Source organism: Homo sapiens, chromosome 9, assembly GCF_000001405.40.
Source record: "Homo sapiens chromosome 9, GRCh38.p14 Primary Assembly".
Taxonomy (NCBI): Eukaryota; Metazoa; Chordata; class Mammalia; order Primates; family Hominidae; genus Homo; species Homo sapiens.
The window spans coordinates 87,510,932-87,534,830 of NC_000009.12; the positions used below are offsets into that span (position 1 = coordinate 87,510,932).

The window sequence follows — 23,899 nt, forward strand, 5'->3', positions numbered from 1 at the left end:
CACAGTAAGTGCTTGAGAGGTGGACGCTATTTAACAAGACAGAGCAGGAACGGGAGAGAGAGGGAGAGCGACAGTATAACATGCTTCTGAATCTGTGTTCCCGGGTCCTACCTCTTCATTCATTCCTGCCCTGGCCTCCCACAGGCAGAGTGCGGGTGAGGGCTCACTTCTCCTCAGTTTCATCCTTCCTCCCTCTCTTCTCCTCTGCCTGTCTCTCCTTTGGCTCAGCTTGCCTGGTGGGCTCATTCTGCCAAGTTTGCCTTTGCTTGTCTGTTCCATTTTTCTAGGTATCCTTGCCTCCTTCCGACTGGACTCAGTTTATGTGCCGAGCTCTCTTGGTGAGTCCACCTTATTATGTGCTCATTAGATGATGCTTAGGGTTCCTAAGAAACATATTGACTAGGAATTTAGCTGTGCATCTGAAAGTTGGCTGCTGAACGCAGAGCTTCAAGGGATACCCTTTTCAAAGTCCACAAGACACCATGGGAAAGGGAGGGAAAAGCTTCATGTTAAGGAGGATCTGTTAAGATGGGAAGAGATGCATTTAAGGAAGCAGAGACAACTAAAAGCCGCTCTGTAGCCAGGAGGAGTTAGCTGCTCAGCAAGAAGGCTGCTTGGAAATGCTTTGAGGGATATCATCCTGGTGTTACAGGGAACCTGAGACTATGTGAGCACATAAATTCGTGTTTTTAATGCAGTGTGCTTCAGTTCCTGAAAGGTAGATTTTCTTTTTCTTTTGTGTGTGTGTGTGTGTGTGTGTGTGTGTGTGTGTGTCTGTGGTTTGTTTTTTTTTCTCCCAGATGGAGTCTCACTCTGTCACCCGGCCTGGAGTGCAGTGGCGCGATCTCGGCTCACTGCAACCTCCGCCTCCTGGTTTCAAGCGATTCTCCTGCCTCAACCTCCCAAGTAGCTGGGATTACAGGAGCCTGCCACTACACCCAGCTAATTTTTTGTATTTTTAGTAGAGATGGGGTTTCACCATGCTGGCCAGGCTGGTCTCAAACTCCTGACCTTAGGTGATCCACCCACCTCGGCCTCCCAAAGTGCTGGGATTGCAGGTGTGAGCCACCACGCCCGGCCTGATTTTATTTTTCTAGCTTGCTTTTTCAAGAGAAACCATCTTTTATTTATTTGTTTGTTTATTTTTTTAGAGACAAGGTCTTGCTATGTTACCCAGGCACAGTGGTGTGATCATAGCTCACTGCAGCCCCAAATTCCTGGGCTCAAGTGATCCTCTCACCTCAGCCTCCTGCATAGCTGGGACTATAGGCATGTGCCAACACACCTGGCTTAAAAGCCATCTTAAGTGGCCAAATAAGACACTGGGAATTTGATTAGGGATACAAATAATTGATTTTTTTTTTTCATGGATCTTTATGGAGAAAGGAGTCTGAGATGAGTGTGGACACCTGAGTCCCTGACCAAGAGAAGCCTTGTGCAGCATGTCAGACAGACAGCAGATCCTGAAGCTCCATTCAGTTGTGACATGTACCAATTTAAGATGTGAAAATGAGTGTTTTGCCAAGCCAGAACTGTCCGTGCCAAGAAAAGCCCATTAGGTTGGTGGCTGAAAGGCTGGATTGTTAGGATGTACTGAATGGTGAGGCCCTGCCAGCTGCTGCGGGTAAATGCCCACTTACATGTCTAAGTACTCATTCTGTTCCCCTGGAGTGGGGTCCAGTTTGTTCAAGAAACATGGCTGCTGTGTGAGAGGCTGCTTTCTTTTTTTTGAGACGGAGTCTTGCCCTGTCGCCCAGGCTGGAGTACAGTGGTGTAATCTCGGCTCACTGCAACCTCCGCCTTCCAGGTTCAAGAGATTCTCCTGCCTCAGAGTAAGTAGCTGGGATTACAGGTGTGTGCCACCATGCCCAGCTAATTTTTGTATTTTTAGTAGACACAGGGTTTCACCATGTTGACCAGGCTGGTCTCGAACTCCTGACCTCAGAGGCTGGTGATCCACCCACCTCAGCCTCCCAAAGTGCTGGGATTACAGACATGAGCCACCATGCCTGGCCGAGAGGCTGCTTTCTTTTAAAGAATTATTTCTTGTTCTTTGGGCTTGTTGGGTGGGTATCTTTAGTTTGTAAAAGTAACATAACACTGACAAAATCTGAAAAGGAAAATACTTGGAAATTGGGTCTATAAGGTGAATTTAGGTAAAACATCAAGAGAACTAACAAATAGACAACAAATAAGCTATAAACAGGTACCATAAATAGGCTGTTAAACGAAACTGTCATTTGAACCGTAATATTTGCCCATCATTTATTCATTCCTCAAGGGCTAATTGAATATCTGAATGATCTTGCTGCAGTGTTGGGCAGGGCCCTCTATCTCAGCAAGCTTCTAGTCATGTAGGATAGACAGACTTTTGCACAACCAACAGTATTGGAAAGCCTAAATAGGAAGTGAGATGAAGCATGGAAAAATGTTTTTTGGAGTTCAGCCAAGGAGAGCGTTTTGACTTGGAGGTTTCATTCCTTCATTCAGATTCTTGTGGACGACGTAAAAATGTAAGCAGGTGGGTGCAAGTGTGGGTATGTATGTATGTCTCTACCCTTGCCTTCCTTGGAGAAAACTGGAAATAAGACATGAAAGAAATGGGGACAAGGAAACTAAGATTTGCTAGGAACTCTAGACCAGCAGCTGGAGGTAGGTATTGTAATTCACATTTGAAAACCGAGGTTCAGAAAGATGATTGGCCTTGAATAGTGTTTTAAAATGCTGGAAGCAGTAGTTGGACTCCCAAGCTGCTAAGCCATGTCTGGAAATTGGGTGGTGGGTGGTGCAGCTCATTTTGTGTCCTGTTCTACTGTCACTGTCTTGGAAGGGAAGTTTAAAGAAGTTTTAAATGTCTAGCACAGTGCTGGCTCATACGATGTGTTCAATGCCTGTTTTTCGCCTTGCTTCCTCTAAACCAGGTGTTCTCAACCTCGGCATTAGTGACAGCCTGTTCTGGATAGTTTTCTGTTGTGGGGGCTGTCTTGTGCATTGTATTTTAGGATAGGATATTTATAATAGGATGTTTAGCAGCATCCATGGACTCTACCCACTGGATGCCAGTAACAGCCACCTCCTCACACTCTTTATGACAGCCAAAAATGTCTCCAGACATTGCTAAATGTGTGAGGGGGCGCAAAATTCCCCCACCCTCTGTAGAGAACCACAGGACTACAAGATCAAGAGAGATCAGTCTTGACTGATGTGCTTAGGAGGCTAGAGCTGGTGTAGGGAAGGAGGAGCCTGCACCTAGTGGGCAAAGAAAACACCCCTGTGGAATGAGATGAGAGAAGATATTGACCTTGGGTGTCCAGAGCTGGTGAGGGGAGAGAAAAGGCTGCCAGATGGTCTGAGCGTGAGGTCTAGGGCAGTTGCTGTTGTACTTTGATTTGTATGGACTGTCCCAGGAGTGCGTAGTTTCCTGTGTCCCAGAGGTCTGGGCTGAGACAGACAATGGGTATGACCTGGAGAACCTGCTGGTGAGGCTTGTGGGTGTCAGAGCCCTGTTGAATCACTTTTCCCTCTCCATTCAAATAGCCACTGCAATTCCATACCTATTTGTATAATTACTTTCAAATGTCATTCTCTTCCTTAAGACTGGAAGCTCCCATGATCTAGGTCTGTGACTTGTTTTCTGGTTATTGAATTGAGCACAAGAACCAGCCCCAAATTGAACATTTAAGTGAGTGACATGAATGAATGATGGAAGGAGGGTTCGCATTAATTGTTGGATTGAACAAAGCCCGACACGATTAAATGTAACAGATACAAAGATGAAGCCAGACAATTAAGTTGGAGAGAAAAAGCAATTGCTCAAATTCAGCAGCAGGGAGACTTGTCATGACAGTGTCCTTTTGGAGAAGAGTCTGAGAGCTTTGATAATTACAAATGTCTATGGAACCCATATCCTCGTGACTGCATTAAGAAGAAAATACAGCTTTTGTCTATACCATAGAAATTGAATGTCTGCAATGGGAGTTGCTGGTTTCTCTGTTTTCTCTGTTTTTGCTGAGGTCATTCTGCATCTGGGACATGAGAGTGTTCTGTTCTGGGAGAGACACTGACAAACTTGGGGGAGTCCAAAGAAGGCAAAAGCTGGAGAACCCGAGTATCTCATGAATAATGTATTTTACTTAGCTATGGAGTCAAGCACCATGTGCATCTTTTTGTAAATATTACTGCATGTAATTCCTCAAACTAGCCTCTTATGGGGATCCTCTATTTCAGAGCTTGGCAGACATTTTATGTAAAGATAGTAAATATGGTAAGCTTCGTGGGCCACATGGTTTCTGTTGCAACAACTCAACTCTGTTTTAACTCAAAAGCAGCCACAGACATTATGTGTCCAAAAGGGTGTGGCTGTGTTCTAATAAAAACAGGCAATGGTCTGGATTTACCCTGTGGGCCATGATTTGCTAAGCCCTGCTCTGTTTTATTGATGAATAAACAAAGGCTTAAAGAGATTAAATAATTTAATATGCTGAAATGAGTAAGTGGCAGAACTGAAATTGAGCTCTGAGCCTCTCTGGCTCTGAAGCCCATGAAAACACACATAGATGGTCTTTTGGATGGGGATAGGCTTGTTTTGGGGGCACTGGGGGTCAGTGGTGGGAGCCATGAGGAGGCAGAGGTTGGCTTAGTAGGAAGAACTCAGCTGTCCAATAGCAGAGCAGACTGCAAGTGAGGTCACAAGTGGTGGACACTGCAGTGTTTGCACTAAATACCCACCTGGTGGGGATATTGAGGAAAAGATTGCCGATTTGGGGAGGAAATTGAGCTGATAGCCTCTGAGGATCCCTTCCAACTCTGTGGATCTGTGGTCATCAACAAAGGGGACCACGTGGGTAACAGCTTCCACCAGGGTGCTCTTGAGCAGGAGCTGCGGGGCAAGTAGCTGCCGTTTTCTTCCCATTCTCAGAGTCCATCCTGCTGACCTCTCCTGCCCACTCCTAATGACCCTTTCCTGCAGGTCGGTCTTACCAGCCTCCCCCCATTTCCCTGCAGTGGTCAGCGGGTGCCCTTGCCCCCCTTTCCCTAGCTCCCAGCTCTCACCGCACACTCAGCTGAATCCCCAGGGAGAACACAAAGCAGAGAGTTGTACAGTTATGGGCTTGTATCCCAGTCAGCGCATCCCTGCCTCTGAAGGGATGCAGATGAATGTGGCCTCTTGCTGTTTTATGCCAACTTGGAGTTCACTCTCTGGCTGTACTTGCCGCCCCCCAGCTTCTGCCCTTCTCCTTGGTGTGGAAGCTGGGATTCTGTCTCCAGCATTACTCCAATTTTTCCCTTGTGTCTCTACTGGATTCCAGATCCTCTTGCACACTGCCAGCGTTGCAGCATCCATACTGTTGGGGCTCAAGAGCCAGCCAGGTCATAGCTGTGGTCTAGGCCATATCGGGTTCTCCCAGCGGGCCCGTTCTCCCTGGGGTTAAGTCCAGCCGTGGCAAACACGGAGTTTCTGCCTTGCCTTTCCTACTGAGCAGGCCTCATGAGTCATGAGTCATGGCCCCGCAACTTCCCATTGCTATCTGACCTTGCTTCCCCCTGCTCTGTCCCAAGGGTGATATCCTGCTTGCTGTCTTGGTGATTGTTTCTAAACTGCCTAATAGCTGTGATTTTTTTTTTCAGGCTGATTTCTAATTTTTCTTCAATGTCAGGTAACTCCTTGTTTCTTATTCTCTTAGGCCTCTGGTTTCTGCCTTTCCAGCAGGCTGGATGGTTTAGCATGCTGCGTGTGTGGCCAGGGGCAGCCCACATGGCTTAATTAGCTCTTCAGCCCCCTGGCAGGAGGTGTGAAGAATGCTTCCTACAGTATGTAGGCACCCTGCGATTGGGGCATTTTCCCATGTGCTAGGTTCGGTGGATTGGAGAAGCTTGAAGGGGTGGATTTGGAGGATATTGTGCAAAAGGAAGGTGTGGCAGTCAGGGTGCTGGCAGGGAACTGGGCCCTTCTGATGGTCCGGATGTAGGTTATGGGATGGTCAGGTACGTACTATCTGGCAGCAGAAGGGGAGCCTGTACCATGCCTAGGGCTGCACTGGAGTCATAGAGGGGGGTCACCAGTACATGCCACTTCAGGGAAGAAACATCACAACCTCTCTCTTCCTGCCCCCATAGTCCCACCAGTGCCTCTCATTAGCCAAACCTAACAGGAACCACCTGCAGGGAGCCACCCAGGGTGGTGCAGTGTGTAGGAGAGTGAAGAATGCGATTGGGGGCAGGGGAGGACAGACAGATGGGACAGATGGAGAATAACCAGGAAGGGGCATCCACTTAGTGGGCACCGATAGCAGGCTTGCTACATTACTGCTTTCCTCCGGGGGTGCAGGTGGTCAGTATCTGCAGAACCCATCTGCTGGGCCTCTCTTCTTCTCGGTGGACTGGGTTTATAATCCATTTTCCCTCTGAAGGCATTCCTGAGACTCAAGCAGTGTCCTCCTTTTGCAAACTCCTGGGGTAATTCCTCATTGACACATTCATCCAGCACTGAGACTCCCCACTGTTCTCTCCCCCACCTCTCTCTCTGTGTGCCCATCTTTCCTAGATTGTGAGCCCGTAAAGTGTAATCATTCTTTTGTTCCCCACATCTTGCAAGACCCTTCAGAAACACCTATTGTCTGATGATCATTTCATTAACTGGTCAGAATTACAAAATCCTGAACTGAAGGATTGTAGCCATGGTTCCTGTGAGTTTTAAAGGTAAACTGAGGAATTGCCGAAAAGTTCCTTAAGATGCATAGTGTGTTGTGCACGTTTTCATCCTTGGCATAACCCTGTGAGGTGACAGCCCCATAAAAGTGCAAAGTGGGTCCCAGATCACTCTCTGCTAGCTGGGGTAGAGTAAGCTTCAGATAAAATGGCTGTTTCCTTTCCATCCCATTGATGATTTTCCCCAAATCTATTGGTACTTATTACCATGTTAGCTTGTCCCAGTGTCATATTTTTAGATTTGAAAGCAGAATGGGAAGGTGAGTCTAGTGGGAATAAAATGTGGTTGACCGCATTTCTACTACACAAGAGGAAATGGGCACCAGTGATCATGGGTGCCTGGGTCCCAATCTGCCCCATAGCACGGGTAGTGGGTTTCTGAAAGAAAGCAGCACGCATCTGTCGCTGAACCTGCGTTTTTACAGCACAGTTGTTTGCCCTGGAATATTTGCCGTTTATGTTGTTGTTTTTTTTTTTTTTTTTTTTTTCTGAGATGGAGTCTGGCTCTATCACCCAGGCTGAAGTGCAGTGGCACAATCTTGGCTCACTGCAACCTCCACCTCCCGGGTTCAAGCGATTTTCCTGCCTCAGTCTCCCATGTAGCTGGGATTACAGGCGTGCCCCACCACACCCAGCTAATTTTTTTTTTTTTTTTTTTTTGTATTTTTAGTAGAGATGGAGTTTCGCCATGTTGGCCAGGGTAGTCTTGAACTCCTGACCTCTGGTGATCCACCCACCTCAGCCTCCCAAAGTGCTGGGATTATAGGCGTGAGCCACTGCACCCAGCCATATTTGCCCTTTAAAAGGGAAAACCTAAGGAAACTGATGTTAACCCTTTGCCATCGTCAATCTCATTGATGTCGGCCAGTCAATCCTGTCAAATCTTGCTCTTTTTTTAATGATGCTTGAAAATTGGAGCCTCACAACTGTTTACTAGGTGGGTCTAGGATGGTAATTTCTGGAAATGACTGTAGACTATGCCAAATGTCTTTTTAGCCTGTTATCTGACCATGCCCAGATGGCTTAACTTTTCTCTAGCAGTGTCACTTTTTCCTTATTTCTCTGTATCTGTGGAGTAGCGTAGAACCGTATGTACAAAGGTTTCTGCTGACATATCAGTGTCTACACAGCTATGTGGGTATCCATGTTGGTGCCTGAAGAGTCTGGCCCGCGCCCAGTATTTGGCAGCTGTAAAATGTTAGATGAACTTCCACCCTCAGTAAAATCAGCCACCCCTTCAAAAGAGTCACAGGCATCCATCCAGTAATATCTTTCCAGGAAAAAAAAAAAAAAGATTTACGTGTAGTCAAGAAAAAGTAGAGATCGCAGGAAGCACTGCTCTGAGCAGATTAGAACAGAGGATTTCGCAAGAGGTGCTCCTTGGCCAAGTCGAGTAAGTAACATCGGACTGATAGGAGGAAGAGCAGCTTAGCTTGGGGCCCTGTGCCCAGTCCTGCTTGTTTAGGCCTTTGTCCCTGTCTGCTTTCCTGGGGCTGGGGCTCTGGGCCCGGCCGATGCCCCTGGTCCCAACCCCAGCTTTATCACTGGGTTCAGCAAGGGGCCCTGGAGAGCAGGCAGCAATGGCAGGCACCTCCCGCATGCACCATTACCTTCATTCCTCTTCTCAGGTTTCCACAGTTGCCCCTATAAAAAGACTGCTGTTGGCCCATGCCAAGTACTCTGGAATAGACAGGAGTGGTATTTCCGCCCTCTTGGAGGGTTGGTGTTTACCAGTGTCCCCCTTCGCTGCAACCCAATGGCAATTGTATTGCCCCGGTGCTCCAGGAATCTGAGGATGATTGGTTGATTTCCTATGATTTCTGGGAGAGTAGTTTACCCAAACCTTTTATGAACCAAAGCCATACTCCCTGGGAGTGTCTGGCTGATCATGTCAGAGACATCTGCCTGGTGGATTGGGGCTGTCACGTGACCAGTGGCCCGCTCTGTCTGCTGCCCAGTACTGCCAATTGGGGAGTGTCCTTCTGCCTTTTTCTCTGCCCTATGTCTGGGACACAGGGATGGCAGCCAGGCCCAGGAGCACCCAGCATCCTCCAAGCAATGAGGTAGCACTGCTTCTGACTTTTCCTCAGGATCTGGTCTTTTTCCATGACAATGAGGTGGGGCCCAACCTTCTCGAAAGTGGCATTGTTTCTGCACAGTTGTAACTGCTCTCAGGGGTGTCAGTGAAGTAGGGGTGGGAGGGAAGCCATGGGATGCTGAGAGAATAGGGCCGAGAGGACATACCTGCTCTCCAGCTTGGCCTTTGATCCAGACACTAGGGACGAGGCTGTCACTGTGGGTGCCTTTGTTAGTGTTTGTGTGTTTGAGTAGTCTGAAATGCTGTGACTTTTTTTTGTTGTTGTTAATAAAGATAAGGAAACAAACAGAAAAAAGGAAATTGGAGCTTCCAAAAGGAAGAAGGAAGTCTTAATATAGAATTGACTTCTTCCCAGGTAAGTTTTAATTGCTTCTCATGCTTGTAGAAAGGTGTATCATGTGTTCTAATAGGTTAGGATTTAATTATGGCTTAAAATTAGTTCTATAGGAAGAGCTTGGAGTTGCACCTAGGGAGAAGAAGCAGAGGGTTCCAGAATTGTGTAAACGGATTGATGGAAAAATAGGCTTCTGGTGCTGAGGGTTCAGGAGCCTTGCCAGCATCACAACAAGGTGTGAATTAGCCTCCTCGCACTCTGGGAGGAAGTGGAGGAACTGCTGGGGTGTGAGGCTGTGAAAGGACCTTGGAGAGCCAAGTCCTCCCTGTTCAGACAGGGACAGGCACAGCTGGAGACAGCAGTTTTCAGCTCTGTGGAACTCTTGTTCTCTGGGTTGCACTTCTTCCTGTGATAATAAAGAGGTTGAAGACAGGAAGACAGGTGCTTGAAAGCCGGAAGACAAGGGGAAAGTTGTTTGAAGCAGGTGTTTAAAAATCCGCCACTTTGGGGGGATGAATTAGGATATCGGTAACAATTTTATAGCCTATATGGTTTCTTTTTGACCCTCGAAGATAGGTGGGAAGTGGTTTTCTATACTTCTTTTAAAAACTGGGAAACCAGAGCTTAAAGAAGTTAAGCTTGAGGCAGCAGAGTTCAATGCACTGGTGAATTGAAATGTTTGTGTGTGTATACATACATACCTGTGTGCGTACATACATAGGTATATATACATACTCAGTATAAATATACATGCACATATATCTATACATGTACTGATACAAAGGGTATATAATACAATTTACAACTAATAACAAACTATGTGCACTCTTTATTATAAATTCCATTCAGCCAATGTAGGCTCACAGAATGCTTTTATTGATTTTTACTGTGGCCAACCTATGACTGACAATGGTTTGACAGAGTTGCATTCCAATTCACTAGTTTTTTACCTAGTAAATTTATTACCATTAAATCTAATATGTGATCTACTGTTAGACTATTTCTCACCTTGTACAAATTATGTTCCTTAAGCTGAGCTTCATTTTGGCTTCAGCACTGCTGATTGCAATAGTGCTAGCTATGTTTTAAGCTTTTGGTGTTGTTGCAGGGGTTGAAGCATTGTTGGATTCTGTATCACCTAAGGGTGTCTGTGTTTAGCAACCAGGTCATGAAATTCCTGAAAAATGAACAGTTGTCTCTTGTGAGCCAGCACAGGCAGGCTGGAGCACATCACTAGCTCCATTGTCAAGGTCTGGAAAGGCAGGTGCTTGTCTGTCTTATTCAGTCTTTAGCCCCAGACCCAGGGAGGTGCTGAATGTATGATTAGAGATTCAGTGAATATTGGTGAGATGGATGAATGAGGTTTCAAAGCTGGGACCAGGAGCCAGTCCATGGGACTCCAGTTCTTATCCCATGAGGACAAGGTCCAGGGTGGGCATTGAAGAATCACAGGAAAGGAGGGGCACCAGAGACCGTCTCCACTGTCAGAACTCAGCTGCCATGTCCTGCCTTCCGCTAGGATGTCAGCACTGGGGCACTGTGGTACAAAGAAGAGGAGAAGGATGACATCTCATTTAGTGTACTTTTTTTCCAGCTTTATCCAATCTTTTGGCAATTTTATTCCCCATCATTTAGGAAAGAGAAGACCTTCTTATCTAGCAGTTTGATGACTTATGGTAGTTGCTTTGGTTTGAATATTTATCCCCTCAAAACTCATGTTCAAACTTAATCTCCAGTATGGCAGTGTTGAGAGGTGAGGCTTTTAAGAGGTGATTGGGAAGGCAGAGCCTTCATGAATGGATTAATTCATACGTGGGTTAGTGGATGAAAGGGCTAATGGATTAATGCGTTATCGTGGGAGTGCCACTGGTGGCTTTATAAGAGGAAGAGAGGCCCAAGCATATTTAGTGAGCATTTTCTTGCCCTCTTGCCATGCGATGCCCTCTGCCACGTTTTGATGCAGCAAGAAGATGCTCACCAGGTGCCAGCGCCATGCTCTTAGACTTCCCAGCCTCCAGGACCACGAGCTGAATAAATTGCTTTTATTTATAAATTGCCCATTCTGCAACAGAAAATGGACTAAGACAGTAGTCACCAACAATACTTAACTAGAATGGCCAGTTATGGAGAACAAGAGTTATATTTTTTTTCTCAGACAGGTCCCTTTACATCTTTTAAAATGAAATATGTAATACATTCACACAGTTCGAAAGTCAAAGACAGTATCTTGCCCTCCAGTGACTAGTTCCTTCTAGTGAGTCTTGAGATCATTCCATATATATTCTATGTGTATTTAAGACAATAAACATAAATTTTTTCATGTTTTTACTGAAATCGTAGCATGTTATACACATTGTTCTGCCTTTGGCTTTTTTGTTTTTTCACCTCATAGCATAACTTGAAAATCATTCCATTACTACATAGGAAGACATGCCTTTTTCTTCTCTATGATTTACTGTCATTTATTTAACCCTTTCTGTCTGTGAACTTCTAGGATTCTTTTCTAATTTTTCTATTATAAGCAATTCTGCAATGATTGCTGATGTACAAAATGTTGAAGCTATCTGTAGGTAAATTCCTAGAAGTGGAATTGCTGGATGAAAGAGAACATGCATCTGTCATTCTTGTATGTGTTACCAAGTTACTCTTCATAGACCGTAAGTCAGTTTTCAGCCCAACTACAAGAGAAAGCTGGCTGGCTTCTTTCGCTGTCTCACAGCTGCTTGATTCTTGCTACTTTGATAAGTGTAGTTTCATCAATTTTTAAGTATGAATAAGTGTAAGCATGTTTTCAAGTATGTTTAAGAACTATTTGTCTCTGCTTTGAACTTTCTATTCATACTCTTTGCCCATTTTTCTCTACGTTTGTAGACTTTTATTAATTTGTAGGAGCTCTTTATCTATTAAATAGCTTTATGTTCATGTTATGATTTGCACATCTTTTCTCTAGGTTGTCATTTGTCTTTTGGCATTGTTTCTGGTACTTTTCTCCCCATGATTTTTTTTTGTGTTGTGATAAAATGTGAAACTTGTCATTTTAACTATTTTTAAGTGCACATTCAGTGGCGTTAAGTCCATTCACATTGGTTGTGCAGCCATCACCACTATCCATCTCCAGAAGTCTTTCACCGTCCCAGACAGCTGTATTTTTTAAAATAGTCGGATTTATCAAATTCGTTTAATCTTTTATGGGTTTTGTATCACAGTTAGAAAGGCCCTTACCGCTCTGAGTTTATTTGTTTTGAGACAGGGTCTCATTCTGTTGCCCAGGCTGGAGTGCAGTGGCACAATCATGGCTCACTGCAGCCTCGACCTCCTGGGCTTAAAAGATCTTTCCACCTCAGCCTCCTGAGTAGCTGGGACCATAGACACGAGCCACAACACCCAACTGATTTTTTAAAAATTTATTGTAGAGAAGAGGTTTTGCCATGTTGCTGAGGCTGGTCTCAAACTCTTGGGCTCCAGCGATCTGCCTACCTTGACCTCCCAAAGTGTTGGGATTACAGATGTGAGCCACCGTGCCCAGCCCACTTTAAATTCATTTTTAAAATATTCTCTCATAATTTCTTCTAGTACTTTGATGGCTTATTATGTATGTTTAAGTCTGTGATTTGCCTGGAATTTATTTTCGTGTGAAGTGTGAAGTATGGCTCCAGGCGTAGTTTTTCCAGAGCCCCTCAGTTACCATTTGCTCATCAAAACATGGTTTGAGGGCTGGCTGGATTCAACCAGGGAGATTTCCTGCACTGTTGGTAGCTGTAGGGAATCAGCAAAGCTGCTGTTTCCAGGAGCTCTTGTGAGCTGGGGAGTGAAGAGCTTCAGAAATGAAGCTTGAGCTAGACTGATGAAATCCCACTCTAGGAAAATACAAGCCTTACGGTGTTTATGTTTGCTATATTCAGAATCACAGGCATGCTAGTGAGTGCACTGTCTAAACATGTTGAAAGATGGTCTGCAGTATCTCTACTCAGCGAGGTGGATGAAACAGGTACAGCCCATGAGAGGCAAGTTAGTGTCTTGGATAAGGCGTTCCTGGTGGATGAGCCATTTGTGCCCCGATAGAGGTTCTTACAGAGGAGGGGCTGGAGTCCACTGATGCTCTGGGCCTCTCCCTGGGGGAAGGGGTGCCTGTTTCTCTTGGCCCAAAGGCCCTGCACATTCCAGCATGCCCTGACCTTGGAACTGTTCCTCAGGTCTCTGGGCCCACTGCATCTCTCCTCCCACAGCTGGACCTGAGAGTCAGGGAGCACCTCTTGTATGCCAGCCATGCTGGGTCTGGGACCCCCTCACCCTCAGGGCCCTCAGGTGGTTCCCTCAGGCTGCAGCGGACATAGAGATCAGTTCTGTGTGTTCCCTAAGCTGACGTGGAAAGTTGGGAAGCACACGCTTGAGCCCTTGAACTTCCTCTTTCTCAGAGCCTAACAGTAGAGCCGGGGTGGGTTTCTTGCCAGAACCACCTCCTCGCAGAATCCCAGGAGACACCAGCCAGGTCCTTTCACACCCCAAACAGTGTGAATGCGCATGTTTACAGCAGCACAATTCGCAATTGCAAAAATGTGGAACCAATCCAAATGCCCATCAATCAAAAAGTGGATAAAGAAACTATGGTATATATACATGATAGAATACTACTCGGCCCTAAAAAGGAATGAATTAATGGCAATTGCAGTAAACCGATGAGATTGGAGACAATGATTCTAAGTGAAGTAACTCAAGAATGGAAAACTAAATATTGTATGTTCTCACTCATAAGAGGGAGCTAAGCTATGAGGATGCAAAGGCATAAGAATGACACAATAGACTTTGGGGACTTAGAGGGAAAGGGTGGGAAGGGGGTGAGAAATAAAAGACTACAAATGGGGTGCATTGTTTACTGCTCGGGTGATGGATGCACCAAAATTTCACAGATCCCCACTAAAGAACTTGCTCATGTAACTGAACACCACCTGTTCCCCAATAACCTATGGAGATAAAAAGATTAAAAACAGAAACAAAAACCGAACAGTGTGAACAGTGCACCCTGAGGTCTCCCTGGGGTCCCTTGTACCCCTCAGGAGCCTGTGGATGACCCTGTGCAAACAGTTGGGTGGAAGACTGTGTCTTCCTGTGTGTTTGGATGAGTACCAGAACTTTCTGCGTCTGTTTTTCACCCTACCCAATGCAGTGCTTACCTAAAAAATGCGTTGAATAGAGCTTCTTGCTTTTACCTCGTTGCACTCCTGAGAGCAAGATGGGTCACCAGCAGCTGTACTGGAGCCACCCGCGAAAATTCGGCCAGGGTTCTCGCTCTTGTTGCGTGTGTTCAAACAACCGGCACGGTCTGATCCGGAAATATGGCCTCAATATGTGCCGCCAGTGTTTCCGTCAGTACGCGAAGGATATCGGTTTCATTAAGTTGGACTAAATGATCTTCCTTCAAAGGATTATCCAAGGCATATACTCAATGAAAAACCATGATAGTTCTTTGTACATAAAATAAACATTTGAAAAAACAACAACAAAAAATGCGTTGAATAAACGAAGGCCAAAATGTCAGTTTCCAAAAAGAACCTGAGGCGGTTCTTTGGTCAGAGCAGCCCTGTTAGGGCTGAGGGCCTCGGTTCCACCTCCTCCATGTTTTCCTCTCTCTTCCCACTGTGAGCTCTCTCAGACCTGGCACTGTGGCCGCTCCCAGCTCCTCGCACCCAGCATGGGGCAGGTGCTGAATGTCTGAGGAGCTTAATTTCCCCTCCCTCTTGCCTTCTGCCTGGGGTGAGGGCTCAGTTGCTCTGAAGCTCATGACCAGGCTTAATAGTCAGTTGAGCTATAGGCCTGCAGATCGAGTATCCCTTTAAGTTTGTTTTTAAAATATTAAATTTACCAAGAAACAGTAAATATTTAAAATTTTTGTTGGGTTTTGCTCTTTTACTGATTTCTACTAGATTTTTTGGCTCCTTTTAAAGGTATAATTTATATGCTAGGAGTGGTGTCTCATGCCTGTAATCCTAGCACTTTGGGAGACTGAGGCAAGAGGATCGCTTACAGCCAGGAATTCAGCCCCAGCCTGGGCAATGTAGCAAGACCCTGTCTCTACAATTAAAAAAAAAAAAACAGAAGGAAAAAAGGTATAGTTTGTGTTCAGTAACATTCACACCTTTTAATATGCAATTCTGAGTTTTAACAAATGCATAGTCATGGAACTACTACTGCAATCAGGACGTATAATAGTTCATAATCCCCTAAATTTCCATGTGTGTATTAGAGTTAATGCTCCCCACCTCCCTTCATCTGGCAACCACTGTCAGTTTTCTGTTCTTGCAGTGTCTCCTTTTCAAGACAGACACAGAAATAGAATCATGGCATATATACCTTTTAAGTTTGGCTAGCATCACACATTTGTAATTCATCCACATTGCTGTCTACGTTAATAGTTCATCTCTTTTTTATTGCTGAGTTTTCTGTTGTATGAATATGCTACAGTCTGTTCACTCACCAACTGAATGACATTTGGATTTTTCCAATGCCTTCCTGGTATCTATTTCCCTCCATTAGTCTATGGGAAGCTTTCTAGAGAATCATTGTGATTCTAACCAGGTATATTTGGTATTTTTTTTGAGGGCAAAGGTTTTTGGGCAGCGTCCCCCAAGTCATCCTGTATAATTGTGTACTGAGTGGTCCTTTATGGTGATGAGATGGTAGTGGTGGTGTCGCCGTGCCCAAGTCTGATTGACAGCTAACCATTCAGCCATCCTTGGTTATTCTCTCCTCTCTCTGGTGAACAACATACCTTCTTTGATGTTGATGCCAATTAGACATGTTATAAGGACTTCTCTGAAAACTCAGAACCCAAACATAACCATCCCCATATGCTGTTTCTACTTCAAAAACAGTTGGAGGATTGTAAGACAGAATTTCTTCCCATTAGCAGTGGGGGCCAAGAAGGAAGGGGAAGAAAGAACCAGTTGCCCAGGGCCTTTGACTGTGAAAGAGGACACCTGAAGGTGAAGGACCCATGACATTGTTAATTGTGATTATTTAGCTGATGGAAACAAAATTCCATAAACATTCTGTAAGAGCAAAGCCTGGTGTAGAGATTCATTCTGTCTCTTTAGGTGTTGGTCTCCCAGTGACTGTAAAACCACCCAAGGGTGGCATTGAAGACACTTGCTTTTGCCCTTGACTTATGTGCTCTTGAGCATTGTACGTCCTTGGGCTAATCGCTTGCCTTCAGATCTTCTGCGCTAGGTTGAGGGGCTTGGAGGAGATGGGCCTCTTGGCTCTCTGACACTGAATCCTTCCTCTCAGGCCCAGTAGTCTTTGCGGCCTGTTGGGTCTGCAAGTCTAGAAACAGCAACTCCATGCCACGGGAACGTTTCTGCTTCCATTGTTACTCACCGGCCTTACACGGATGACCATGCGCTGTACAGGGAATGCCAGGGCTGGCCAAGCTGGCTCCAGCAGAGCACAAAATAGAGCTTGCTCCTGCTGAGGTGAGGTCCGTTCCTGGAATTAGATGCTCTCTGCATCTAGGTCTATCAGGAAGGTGAGCTGGCAAAAGATCCCTAAAGCCTTTAAACATCACTTAAATAGGTGTGTGTGCAAAATTGTCTTCCATTAACAAATATGTCAAAACACAAGCCTAATGTTTTCTTTGGACAGTTTCCAAACACTGAGCTTCTTTCTGAACTGTTACTGGCCGGATTATTGGGACTATTCCCAGGTGTTTATTTCACATCCTCCTCTTTTTGCAAGTGACATTTAAAATACTTCTTCGAAGCACACACATTAAGCCAGGAGAAAAATCCTAGGATGGGAAGCAATCTTATGGCTGAGACCTTGTCTGCGAACAATTGTTTGCTGACCAAAATGCCGAAGTCATTAATCCTCCTTTCTACTGACTTTGAAATGGAAAATTAAATTTCAGAAACCTTTTGATTGCACACATGCATCCCACAATGTTTCATACACCAATACATATATAGGTAGTTTGAATTCTGTGCACCAAGCCACTTGCACTGACACTGATACTAATGTACTGTGAGAGAGCAGCATACTTTAAACACTTGCCGATGTGAATCAGACTTGAGAGAACTTGAGCGTGCGTAAGCACCTTGATGTCTTATCCATTTGGAAGCTTATTGTTACAGTGCGTTTTCTTTTCTTTCTTTCTTTTTTTTTTTTTTTGAGACAAAATTTCTCTCTTGTTGCCCAGGCTGGAGTGCAATGGTGATGTCTCAGCTCACTGCAACCTCCACCTCCTGGGTTCAAGCGATTCTCCTGCCTCAGCCTTCCGAGTAGCTGGGATTACAGGTGTGCATCACCACTCCCAGCTAATTGTTGTATTTTTAGTAGAGATGGGGTTTCGCCACGTTGGCCAGGCTGGTCTCGAGCTCCTGACCTCAGGTGATCCACCCGCCTCGGCCTCCCAAAGTGCTGGGATTACAGGCGTGAGCCACCACGCCCGGCCTACCATGCACCTTTTCTAATCCCTCTTCCTGGAATGCTCTTGCTCCAGAGAGCCACAAAGCTAACTTTCATCTCCTGCAGCGTTTGTTCAGATGTCACTTTCTCAGTGAAGCCAAACTGACCTTCCTATAAAAATCACCTCCGACTCCTGAGCTCAGGCCTGGGCAACATGGTGGAACCCCATGTCTACTAAAAATACAAAAAAACTAGCCGGGTGTGGCGGTGTGCACCTGTACTCCCAGCTACTCGGGAGGCTGAGGCAGGAGAATTTCTTGAACCCAGGAGGCGGAGGTTGCAGTGAACCGAGATCGCGCCACTGCACTCCAGCCTGGGTGACAGAGCAAGACTCCATCTCAAAAAAAAAAAAAAAAAAAATCACCTCCAACCTCACACCATACCCCATTTTCTGCCGCACTATATACCCTGGTATATGACCTTCCAGGGACATTCAACTGGTAAGGGAAGAATGCTTCAAGGGAGCCATGTGTATGACTCCAGTAAACACACTGTGTGTGCTCACCTCCCAGGTGCTGGCAGGCTACTAAGCATGCAGACAGCCACCCCATGGGAAGAATCAGGGGAGAAGGGGCACAAGACCCCAGAAGTCTGACAACATGTAAAACCCCAAGTCAAAATGTTAAACCGCGTACTTGATCTCTCAAGTCGCCTCCTGGGCCCTCTTCCAAGTGTACTTTACTTCCTTTCATTTCTGCTCTAGCGCTTTTCAATAAGCTTTCACTCCTGCTCTAAAACTTGCCTCAGTCTCTTCTGCCTTAGGCCCCCTTGGTCGAATTCTTTCTTTTGAGGAGAAAAGAATTGAGGTTGCTGCAGACCCATACAGATTCGCTTCCAGTAACACTAGTACCTAGTAGTTTCTAAGGTATTTCTAACGTGATCTTACTAATTTATCTTTTAAATTAAAAATTAAGGGTATCATTTATTCTGTGACTCTTTGAGGAGATTTGGTGTCTGTTTTATCCTGAGCATCTACAACAGTGCCTGACACATAGTAGATGCTCAGTAAAAAGTTATGGAGTGTATACCACATGCTCTGGGGGATATATGGCACAGTCTTTGGATTATCAGTTTGTGTTTATTTCTTGGCTGCAAAGGTGGAGGGAAGGCCCAGGTTGCACAGGAGGGGACAGAGCTTTAACAGTACGTGGAATGCAGTGGACGTGCCTTTATCTGCAAGGACCCTTGACTGCATTGAGGCTGCCTGGAGCAAAGAAGCCACCAGACCCAAGGGGCTCAGGCTAGGCTGGGAGAATGCCAGGAGGCGAGTCCCTGTCACCTGCCCCTAGAACAGGTCAGACCTGTTCTGTTGTTCTGTGGTCATCTGCTCTAAATTTCCTCCTACTCACCTCTGGGCCTTTAAATTTGGGATTCATAAGAATGCTTGGTGCAGAGGAGGAGCTGATGCCTCCCTAACTTCCCTAATGCCGCCCGCCCAAGCTTCTCAGAACCCCTGCTTCCTCATTAAGATAATGAGAACTTCCTTAGATATCTGTGCAGACGAAATGAGAGAATGTGCCTAAGTCCTCAACGCAGTCCTGTTTTTATTATTTAGGCTTTCCCCCTCTGGGATTTGGAATGGAAAAAGCACAGCCTAATCTTGCCCCTCTCTTTTCCCCAGTGAGAACTTATATGGTTCCCATTATGTTCTATTGTTATTATTCCACTATTTTCCAGAATGTGAGGAATAAGCTGACCCTGAGCCTGCCACTTTGATTTGGTCGTCAGAAGTCCTGGGGAAGCAGTTGAGAGATCTTGTAACTTTTAGTATTAATCTCAAAGACACTGCCTAACCAACACAGGCTGTATTACCAGTTCCTACATCTAGCCCTCTGTAGGGTAGCTTGATTTTAAATGTGCAAGTTAATTTCAAGTCTGTTTTGTAAGGGGAATTTATATTAAGCACATTAACAACCTCAGTGTCTCCAAGGGTCAAATCTTATGTCTACTTTCCTTAACCCGTTTTGAAATTGGAAGAGGAAGTTAATATGCAGTCCCATGCACTCCCTTTTAGATTTAATAATGGATGAAAAGTTCTTTTATCCACTGTACTTCTTCAGAAATTTCAGAATAATTTCTTTCTGTTTGAAGAATATGAAGTTAGTTCTTTAAAAAGAGAGACATGCTATTTAATTTTTAAACCCCACCATCTAGGGAATTCTGACATTATGGGACAGACTGAGCCGATTTCCCTTTGTGACATTGGGGTTTCATGTGCTGGAGCCACATGAGGGATGCACAGAGGGGAGCCTTCTTGTCGCAGGTGGGAACAAACATCCAAAGAAACCCCCAAGGGCCCCTTTGAAGGTCATCCTCACTGGAACAAAGGTAGTCACTGGGGCCAGACCAGTGACCTCTCCATATTCATGCAGGTCTCTTCTTCAAAGATTTTAAGTAACTTCCTTTCCCAGGGGGATGGAGCAGCTGTGAGCCGAGCATTAGCGCCAGGCCTTTTAAAAACAGACCAGTGAATTCAGGAAATGCTTACCCTTTGGATAGTCAAGTGGAAGCATGGATATATTTTAAAGTATCTATCTAATTCCTTCTCTGGAGTGAGAAGGGGTTAGGGGGAGAGATCTAGGTCAAAAATATTATTTAAGGATAAAATGCTCTGATCATTGCATTGTTGCACGCAGTGGGCTCAGCAAGCTTTTCGTTTCCACTGCAGTGTGGGTCATAGCTTGTGCGTGAGTCCCCTCTGACTAGAGGGCTGGTCTATCCATACCCGATGTTCACTGCCAGTAGCTGGCTGGAGTTCATTACTGGTGCCACCAGCCTCAGGCCTGGTCGTTCAAAGAAGAAACAATATTTGAAAATGGACGTGATTTTTCCCTTGGGGCTTTCCTGTGTTTTCTTCATAGAGTATACTTTGTAATTTGGGGAACCAGAATAAATAGAAAGAAGAATAGTTAGGACAGTGAGTCCATCTGAAGCCTTTGTAGGTGGTGAAGGGAGAAGTTGGGGGTAAGAGGGCATTCACTGCACAGCAAAGACTGGCGTGTCTCAGACTGGTGCAAACCTGTGCTGCAATATTGACCTGAGGATGAGTAGAAAAAGGCAGAGGAGCTGTCACTTCAGTGTAATGTTGAGAAAAAACAGTCCTCTCCCCAGTGTAGGGCATTGAACTGTCACAACCAGAATTATGCCCAGGATTTCATACAGGTGCTGTCTATTGTACATAGCTTAAAAAGCTGGTTGCCTGAAAGTTCAATTATTGTGTCTTATTGTTTCCTGTGAACATAAAGGAATGTCCACAGAATATTAGAGAATATTGGAATGCAGGAAGAGAGGCAAGTCTGAGAGGTGGGGATGAGTTCAGAGAAATCCCCAGGGGCCTCCTTATTGTGCAGTAGTTTTCCCTCCATGTGCCCCCTGGGCTGATATTAATGTGTTCTAGGAAATGCTTAATGCTTATGGGCCTGACTCTTGGTTTTGCCTTTTAAGAGGCATCATCATTACTAACAAACACGTTCCTGAACAGGCCTTAGTGCTAAGCTAGGCTCGATCTCTTCTTTCTGGCCAAATTGGGATTAATGCCACTCTTTGATTTCCTCATGTTGGCAATCACACAGTGCCATGATTAACTGGTGCCACACATTGCCAAGGCCCTATGGTTTACTTCAAGGGTCAGTAAACTGTAACTCCAAGGCCAAATCTGGCCCACTGTGTTTTTATAGAGTCCTTCTGCTAAGAATTGTTTTTACATTTTTAAATGATTGGAAAAGATTTTTAAAAAGAACAGTATTTTGTGCCACATGAAAATGATATGAGATTCAGATTTTAGTATTCATAAATAAAGTTTTACTGGAACACACCCATGCCCATTTGTTTGGTCTCTGGTTGCTTTTGCACAGCAATGGCAGAGTTGAGTCATGGTGACAGAGACCATGTGGCCCTCAAACCTGAGAATATTTATCCTCTAACCTTTTGCAGAAAGTTTGCTGACCCCTGGTTTATATCATTAGGGTAGGCATGTTGTGCCTTTATCCTATGTTTTTTAAGAAAATTCTAAAATCTAAAATGTATTCATTTCATGTATATTATAATGTGAAATTCTTATTTTGATAGCATTTTTATACCCCCTATGCAAAACTGAAAATGCTAGACAATGAAAGAAATGTGTAAACTGTTGAATACAAGGAGCCAGGCATTCATAATAGAGCCAGCTGATGCTTTGAGAGAAGAAAAAACCTCATGTCTCCTCTTCTCACCTCTCCCTCTTTTCTTCCAACATTTTATTACGAAAATTTTTAAATATACAGAGAAGTTGGTAGAACTGTACAGGGAACGCCAATTTGCCCTCCACCCAGAGTCTGTAATTACTAACATTTTGCCACATTTCCTTTATCGCCTCTCTGTACAATCATCTGTCCATCTCAGTTTTTATGTATTTCAGAATAAGTTACAGATGTTAGTACATTTCAACAATAGGTTACTTTTATTTCCACTGTTAATTAGGCTTAGTCTGAAGGGTGTGGAATATTTTCATTTCCTGAATGGAATAAAAGGTGGGAGTTAAAAGCAGATGGGAACAAGCAGAATGATATAATGTAATTAAGGCCTGGCTTAAAAAAATATGTGTGCCTGTGTATGCACACACACACATTGTAAATTTTGTGTACATGCACATAAAATATATATACACATGCGTGTGTGTGGATATGTATGCATATCTATATGTAAAAATAAAAGAATGAAATTGTCCATAAAGTAATGCAGGCTTTGAGAAACTGTTGGGAGAACTACATTTACCAGTGCTTAGGCACCAGACCAGTATTGTGAAAGTAAAGATGCTGAAGTCTTTGACACCTTTAACTTTTGCAACACATTTATGTTCTCTCAGACCGCATCCAGGGGCAGGAGAAGGAGTGTTCATGTGTTCACAGGCAGCATCAGCCAGGTGCACAGGTCCAAGACCTCAGGCCAACTCAGGCTGGAAGGCACCTGCTCCTGTGGGGTGCTAGCCACCACTGGGGAGCAGAGATGAGCAGAGAAGGCTCCTGGAGCTTTGAAAGACGTAGGCAACCTGCTACCTGAAGGACCAGTGAGGAACCTTTTGACAGTCAAAGAAATTTTTTATGATAGGAACAATTTCTAATTGGTCCATGTGTGCACTCCTTTTCTTTTCCTGCTCTGCCCTGCCCTTTTTGAGATGGAGTCTCACTCTGTCACCCAGGCTGGAGTGCAGTGGCGTGATCTGGGCTCACTGCAACCTCCGCCTCTCTGGCTTAAGCGATTCTCCTGCCTCAGCCTTCCGAATATCTGGGATTACAGGCATATGCCTCCATGCCCGGCTAATTTTTGTATTTTGAGTTGAGACGGGGTTTCGCCATGTTGGCCAGGCTGGTCTCAAACCCCTGACCTCAGGTGATCCGCCCACCATGGCCTCCCAGAGTGCTAGGATTACAGGTGTGAGCCACTGCACCTGGCCGAGTCCACTCATTTTCTAACAGCAGTTCTCAGGTTCCTGTCCTTTAGGCCCATTTAGTTATACATTTGCATAATGCTTTGCAATTTTAAAAACACTTTTCTTAGACTGTGATCCTGTGGGAATTATTATTCCAATTTCTTGCGATTTTTTTTTTTTTAATTTTGCAAGCTGCCATGAATTCTTAGGAAAAAATGCATGGTAAACATTAGGCATACTTTTCAATATATGTGCAATGTGCGATATGCCACACATATGGCCAAAATGCAGTTGGCTCATTTTGACAGTTTTTTTTTTTGTTTTTTTTTTTAACGCTGCCATGCTGTTCCAATTGGTTTGGCTTGACAGTTTTGAAATTGACAATTTCTGCCTCTCCCAATCATTGCTCTCAAGGGCAGGGGTACCACACTGGACATTTCATTGGATCTTCGAAGGCCCTACATACAATGCTGATTCCCAGGCAGATACTTCATAGATGTTTACTTTCCATTGAGTTTATTTTGAGTTATTAGTAGGATGCCTTAGTTGGGATTCCATTTCCAACCTGAGGATCAGCAAAAATCATTTTATGCATCTGCAGTGTTCTTGTTAGGTAAGCACTGTTGGGACAGGTAGAGTGAATGGTTTAAATGCTTTCCTGTTAGATACCCTTATTTTTAAAGTGTGAGGTGTCCTTTCTTGATTTCTTTTCTTTTTTTTTTTTGATACGGAGTCTCGCTCTGTCACCCAGACTGGAGTGTAGTGGCGCGATCTGGGCTCACTGCAACCTCCGCCTCCCAGGTTCAAGCAATTCTCCTGCCTCAGCCTCCCAAGTAGCTGTGATTATAGGCACGTGCCACCACGCCTGGCTAACTTTTGTATTTTTAGTAGA

The 23,899-nt window shown here is 44.8% G+C and overlaps 1 protein-coding gene and 1 pseudogene across 8 annotated transcripts in view, besides 1 other annotated feature; both read left to right on the top strand.

Moving 5' to 3' along the window:
- Positions 1-23,899, top strand: part of DAPK1 (death associated protein kinase 1) — a 211,407-nt gene that overhangs the window by 13,704 nt on the left and 173,804 nt on the right. The gene's annotated exons all lie outside the window — the stretch shown is intronic.
- RPS29P18 (ribosomal protein S29 pseudogene 18) lies at positions 14,337-14,633 on the top strand (annotated as a pseudogene).
- Positions 19,384-20,366: an enhancer, noted in NCBI's record as "OCT4-NANOG-H3K27ac hESC enhancer chr9:90145230-90146212 (GRCh37/hg19 assembly coordinates)". NCBI's record gives its function as "activates a minimal SCP1, AML or CMV promoter by ChIP-STARR-seq in primed H9 embryonic stem cells {active_cell/tissue: H9 hESC(primed)}" and the evidence as "EXISTENCE:reporter gene assay evidence [ECO:0000049][PMID:30033119]".